Source organism: Homo sapiens, chromosome 18, assembly GCF_000001405.40.
Source record: "Homo sapiens chromosome 18, GRCh38.p14 Primary Assembly".
NCBI lineage: Eukaryota > Metazoa > Chordata > Mammalia > Primates > Hominidae > Homo > Homo sapiens.
Genome location: NC_000018.10, coordinates 49,015,965 through 49,022,802, shown reverse-complemented (window position 1 = coordinate 49,022,802; position 6,838 = coordinate 49,015,965). Strand labels below are relative to the sequence as shown.

The 6,838-nt window shown below is 59.1% G+C and overlaps 1 annotated feature.

The window, feature by feature from the left end:
- Nucleotides 5,509-5,558: a silencer, noted in NCBI's record as "silent region_9445". NCBI's record gives its function as "represses an Ori minimal core promoter by ATAC-STARR-seq in GM12878 lymphoblastoid cells {active_cell/tissue: GM12878}" and the evidence as "EXISTENCE:reporter gene assay evidence [ECO:0000049][PMID:35858748]".

The window sequence follows — 6,838 nt, the reverse complement described above, 5'->3', positions numbered from 1 at the left end:
TCACATTTCATCTGTGCCTCAAAGTCCATATGGGGGAGATCCAGCTTGGGGACACCATGAGCAAGGGCTTGGTCAGCCCCAAATCAAGGCAGGTTCAGAGAATGGGAAGTGGCTCCACTCAGCTGAGGCCATGGCCAGTGGAGAGGGTGGCCCCAGCCCTGGCCCAGTGGGTCCTAGTTAGGGCTGTGATGATGATTTTGATATTTGAGAACATGTGGCAGGCCCAGCAAAGTGGTTTCAGGTCAGCTCTTCCATTCCAAGCCCATTCCCCTGCCCAACAGTCACTCCTTTACTTCACTGTTGCCATCCTTAAACAGGGCAGAGGCCGTGTGAGCCCATTAGGACACAGGTGTGAAATAACTCCCCAAGAGGCTGTGTGTAATCCCAGTACTTTGGGAGACCATGGCGGGAGGATCACTTGAGCCCAGGAGTTCAAGACCAACCTAAGCAACATAGTGAGATCTTGCCACTAAAAAGCATTTTAAAATCTAGCTGGGTGTGGTGGCACACACCTATATTTCCAGGAGGCTGAGGCGGGAGGATTGCTTGAGCCCAGGATGTCGAGGCTACAGTGGGCTATGATCATACCATTGTACTCCAGGCTAGGTGACAGAGCAAGACCCACCTCTTTTAAAAAAAAAAAAAAAAAAAGGCTGTGTGGACCCAAGTATGCATGCGTGTGCATGTATGTGTGTGTCTGCATGTGTGTGCACGTGCGTGTGTATGTGTCTGTGTGTAACAATCAGGGCCATCACGTTGTGGTCCAGCCAGCATGTCAAGTCTGTGTGTGGGGCGCCCTCTGCAGTTAAGCAGTGCACAACCCATGCAGCTGTACCTGGCAGCCCTGAGTGTGGACTGTGGGACCGTCTGCTAGGTAACCTCCCTGACGCCAGGCCCAGGCCCCGCCTCCCAGCCCCTCATGCCCTGCCTGCGGGAGCTACAAACCTGAGCTCACCACTCTACAGGCTCTTTTCCCTCTGGTGAGGCTGCTCCCTGGGTCTCTGGTCCTGGCATGCTCCTCCTGCAGATGCTGTGGGGACAGCAAGGTGTAGGGCGGTGTGACCTTGGCTCTGAGACTGGCTAGGCCCCTCCTCTGTTACCTGAGTCATGGAATTCTCCAGAAGTGGGCAGGGCTGAGCCCTGGAGCCAGGAGAGGTGAGGTCATGGGTTTTGTCTACCATGGGCCCTGCCATCAGGCAGGGAAGGGTGTGTCCCCTCCGTGGGGCGTGGCGGCTGAACCCAGGTTTCCCGGAGCTCCTGGCTTTGACCTAAGCCTGAGCGTCCCTCCCACAGGCCGGAGCTCTCTCGTTGGTGCTGCACCTCCATCCGGGGCTACATGTCCCCTCCACCTTTCTCACCCAACACTGGACGGCAGGGAAGCCCTGTGAGGGAAGAGGGGGTGAGTTAGGGCCCCTGGGGGCTGCGTGCTGCAGATGGAGGTGGGGGACCACACTAGCTGTGCGCTTTGCCTGGAGAGGTGGGGATGGGATGTCCTGGTGAAGGGCTAGAGGGGTAGCCAGGGCCCAGCTGTGGCAGTGGGGGCAGTGGCACTGGACTCCAGTGTGGTGACCATGCCGGCCCTGGAGGGGTCTGAGCCGGGGCATGGCTTGGCAAAGGTCATGGTGGAACTGGACAGCTGTGTGGGAGCGGAGGGGAGGCCAGGGTAGGCAGGGCCCTCACAGGCAATTGCAGCCAGGCCCTGACGACTGCAAGGGTTCCCATGCGGGATCCGGGACCCACACTGGACGAGCCCCCTGCCACTCTCCACACACTTCACCCAGTCTCAGTCACTCTCCCACCAGCTCCGAAACAGAGGGGAAACTGAGGCCTCAGGAGGTAGCTCTGGGCCCCAGCTCACACAGGGACTGCAGGGGCTTGGACCCAGCTTCCCCAGCTCCAGAGCCAGCGCCTCTTTCCCCTTGCCCGCCACGCGGCCGCCTCTGTCCGTGCTGGTGGGATTTGATTCCAGGTGATGGCCTCAGGCTGGGCGCCTGGGAGGATGTCAGTGGAGGGGGTGGTGCGTTTTGGGGCCGAGGGGAGGTGAGGAGGCTGTTTTCAGGCATGCCGAGTCTGTAGTGGGGATGACACATCCCTGTGGACATGCAGAAACCACCGGAGACATAGGTCTGGACTCGGGAGAGGCCATGACTGGGGCTTCCAATGTCAGCTCCCCAGAGGCAAGAAAGACAACTTCAGGCCACCTGAGCCTTCAGGGGATTCAGAGAGCAGAGGTGCCAGGATGGGGGAATGGGGGTAGGGTCTGGGTTGCCAGACTTCCACCCCAAACCACAGCAAGCCACCACCAGGGAGCCTGGTTTGGGGTCTGTGACGATCTATAGAAGGGGTGAGGGTGGAAGAGGCATGGGGCACAGGGTGAGGGGCAAAGGGCAGCCTCCCTGGGTGGAGAAGAAGGCCGGGGGTGGGGGAGTCTGCATATCCACCCAAGTCCCCTGTCCCTAGGGCTGGCCACGATTCCTCCTGCCCCAGAGCTGCTGGGGGATGCCGGGGCAGGAAGCTGGAGCGAGGGTTACAGCCAGGGCAGCCTGATGGCAAGAGAGACCATCCCCTCCTGCCTGACACCCCGCTCCTGTGTGGAGCACATTCATGGTTGTCACCCCGGTGCTGCCTGGGGACCAGCTCTTCACGCTCAGCAGTTACAGCAGGAGCCAGGCTGCTGGGAAACAGTGGATGTGTGGCCTGGGGGACCTTGGAGCACTTTTCCTCACTCAGTCCCAGACTCACAGGGATCCGCGCATGTACGTGCACACACACACATACACACACACCACACATCACACACACTCATTCACACACACACACTCATTCACACACACACATCACACACATTCATTCACATTCACACTCGTACACACCACACACACGCTCATTCACTCATACACACACACCACACATCACACACACACAGTACACACACACATTCACTCACATTCACACTTGTACACACCACACACATGCTCATTCACACACGCACGCCACATCACACACTCTCATTCACTCACACTCACATACCACACACACCACACACATCACACATGCTCGTTCACTCACACTCACCACATATCACACATGCTAATTCAGTCACATTCACTCACACTCACCACACACCAGACACATCACACATGCTCAGTCACATTCACTCTCATCACCACACATCACACACATTCACTCACATTCACACGCACACACTTGCTTACACACACTGACTCACTCACTCGTACTCACATGCTTGCACACACTTGCAGCCAAGATAGGGCTTATGTCATAGGACCAGGGGGACTCCAGGTGGGAGGGGGGTTCCCTGGCTGGGTGTCCTTGAGGGAAAGTTGCACTTCACAGCTGTGGCCTGCAGCCAGAGAGGACAAAGACTGTGGAAGGTCATTCAGCCTGTCGGGTGGGCCAGGGCTGGATGGCAGAGCTGTGCCCCCCATAACCCCGGGCTCCCAGCTCATTTACCCGCTGTTCTCCCGCCTCTGCTTCCCTTCAGGATGGCACCGCCAGGCCTGGGACACTGGTGCCCCAGAGCCCAGGCCTGGAGGGGCCCCTTGCAGGTGTGTGCCCAATGCCAAGGGCGCTCTGGGGCGGCCCCGCCTGAGGACCCTACCCTAGAGACTGGTTCCCCAACCTGCACCCAGAACTCCAGTCCCTTGGCGGGCAGGAGTCCCTCCCACCCCTGCCGTGGCCTGAGCGGTTCCCCAGCCATGTCCTGGGCGGTGAGGAGATGAACCAGACAGCCCTCTGCAGAAGGCCTGCCCCGAACGCCCCAGCTGGCGGCCCCCTGCTCACGCCTGGCTGCGGGGGTCTGAGGTGTCGGAGGAGCCGGCAGATCCTGGGGCACAGCAATCCCCGGGCTGAGGATCAGTTCCCGGGACACTTCAAGTCCCTGCTCTGTCCTTTCCCAGGACGAGGACACGCCCTCTCTAGACCTCACTCTGTTTCGGCGCGGTTTAATAGAATCCTCCTCAGGCTGCTGCTGTGGAGGTTAGATGTGAACATGCGTGGAGAGGACTTGGTGGCGCTCTCGGTAGTGGAGGCTTAGCAGATGACACCGTTAACCCCAGGCCCAGGGTACAGTGGCCTCTGTCCCTCAGCCATGCAGGCTGAGCTCAGGTCGGGGATGAGAATAAGCGAGGCCAGGGCACCCCCAGGCCAGGGATAGAGGCCTGGCCCAAGGCTTTGCCACCAGGGAACCCTGCTTATCCTTGTAGGGTGCGAGGGGCAGGGTCTGCCGGAGAAGGGGCCTGCTGACCACAGCTAGGGAGATGCAGAGGTTTCCTGGGGTTACCAGCCTCCAAGGGCAAAGCCACCCCAGAGCTGGGGACATGGCGGCCCTGGAAATGAAGATGGCGGCCTTGGAAATGAAGCGAGGCTGCCTGGGCCTCTCTTCCCTCACCCTGAGCAGGGCCATTGCTTCGTAAGGACTGGCAGAACTGCCTCAGGGCCTCTGGGCCAGCCAAGGCCTGCTGAAGGGGCCCTAGGAGTTCACGGTTGCACGAAGCCCAGCCCCTCCTGGAAAGGCGCAGACTCAGGCCCAGACCCAGGCCCCTTAGGCATCAGGAGCTCAGCTCGGCTGCTCCTGCAGGCCCGCCTGTCCCTTCCTTCTCCTGTGTCTTCCTGGGTTCATGCCACTCCTCAGACTCCCCAGAGTGGGGGCAAAGCCCCTGCCTTGGTTTCCCCAATAGTGCCTGGCCAGGTGGGGCAGGTCTGCAGCAGGGGAATCCCCTGGGAGGGCAGCATCGTGACCCCCATGAGTAGGAGTTGGGGTGGTGCAGGCGGGGACCATGGAGGCAGGGTGGACCCTGCACCCGGATCCACCTTAGAAAGGAGCCGGCCAGGCCAGGGGCGGTGGCTCACGCCTGTAATCCCAGGACTCTGGGAGACCGAGGCAGGCGGATCACGAGGTCAAGAGATCGAGACTATCCTGGCCAACGTGCTGAAACCCCGTCTCTACTAAAAATACAAAAATTGGCTGGGCGTGGTGGCACACACCTCTAGTCCCAGCTACTTGGGAGCCTGAGGCAGGAGAATCGCTTGAACCTGGGAGGCAGAGGTTGCAGTGAGTGAGATCATGCAACTGCACTCCAGCCTGGTGACAGAGCGAGACTCTGTCTCAAAAAAAAAAAAAAGAAAAGAAAAAGAAAGGAGCCGGCCTAACTGGGCCTTTTTGTGCTAACAGCCCTGATTTCCACAGGTTTGGTGGAGGGAGCAGGGGGCCTCCTGCTTCTTGAGATCCTCTGCCCACAGGGCGGCATCTGTGGGTGGACCCTCTCCCTCCTGGGCCTCAGTTTCCTCCTCCTGCGCCTCAGTTTCCTCCTCCTGCAAGTTTGACACCGACCTGGGACGCCTGGGGCCGTCCCCATGAGCACTGAGGTCATGGCTGGGAGGCCACGAGGCTCCCCCAGGAGGACGCGCCATAAATACCTCGTTGGCCTCATTACCTTCATTAGAGCCCGGGAGCCCAGGCGTGCAGAGCTGAGCAGGCAGGGTGCATGAGTCACCTTAAAAGAATGCCCCCCTCCACACACACACACCCTGGATGTGGGAGAATGGGCTTCCAGCGCTGGAGAGGGCTCCCCCGAGTCCCCCAGCCGTTGACCCTGAGGTCTCTCCTGCTCCACCAGCCCCTCTCGCTTATCTTTTATCCCTCTCCTCCCTGAACACACACACAGACACACACACACACACACACACACACACACCTCTCACCTCTGCCTGTAAACCCAGGGGAGGAGCATCCACTGTGTGCCACAGCCAGCTGTGACAATGCTGCCAAGAGTGCTGAGGGGCCAGGGGTGGCCTGGTGGGAGAGAGGGCTCTCCGGGTGCAGGTGCCTCCTGAGGAGGAACTAGGAGACAGGGAGAAGGAATGGGCAGAGGTAAGAAGGGGTGCTGTGCCTGGAAGGGGTGCCTAGAGGTGGGCAGGGTGAGAGAGCTGGCCGAAGTGCTGGGAGTGACAACAGCAGGGGGACAGTCCCTTCTCTGTTCCCCCACGGCTCCCTGTCTGGGCAGGCGTAGGCCCAGCCCATCAGCACGTTCTGAGCTGGTGACAGGAGACCCACAGCCACCCCAGCTTGGCCCTGCCAGCCCCTTTTCCCTCCTCAGACCCCGTGTATCTGAGGGCTATGAGCTGACAGCTTTCCCTCCCTCCATTGTTGACTCCCCTCTCAGCCCTCCTCAGTCTTCCCCCACCCTGCCCCCTTCCAGGCTGTGTCCACTCACAGGCCAGGGGACTGGGCCCTGACCCAGTCCCAACAGCCTCAGGGCTGTGATGGGTTTTTATTTTTATTTTTGGTGTGGGAGGGTATACATTCACGGAGACAAAGCTCTCCCCTTCTGAGACTTGAATGGGAATCGGAAGACAAGACAGGTCACCTCTGGGGAGGAGGCAAGGGGTGTGGGGGTAGCACTGAGTGCCTCGTGCAGGGATCAGACAAGCCTGAGCAGGGGAGGGGCCGTGTGCCCTCCTGCCATCTCTTAAATATTCTTATGAGATGATGATAGCTTAAAACCTTTTGTGATAAAACCACTCAAGAAACTATGAACAGACGGGAACTTCCTCAATCCCATAAAAGATTTCTATGAAAACACATCACTAACACGGTACTTAGTGGTGCAAGACTGGATGCTTCTCCCTTAAGAGCAGGAACAAGGCAGGGTGTCCCCATCACAACTTCTGCTCAGCGCGGTGCTGGAGGTTCCAGCCAGGGTGATCAGGCAAGAAAAGAAGTAAAAGGCCTCCAGATTAAAAAGGAATAAGTAAGTCTGGGCGCGGTGGCTCACGCCTGTAATCCCACCACTTTGGGAGGCCAAGGTGGGCAGAT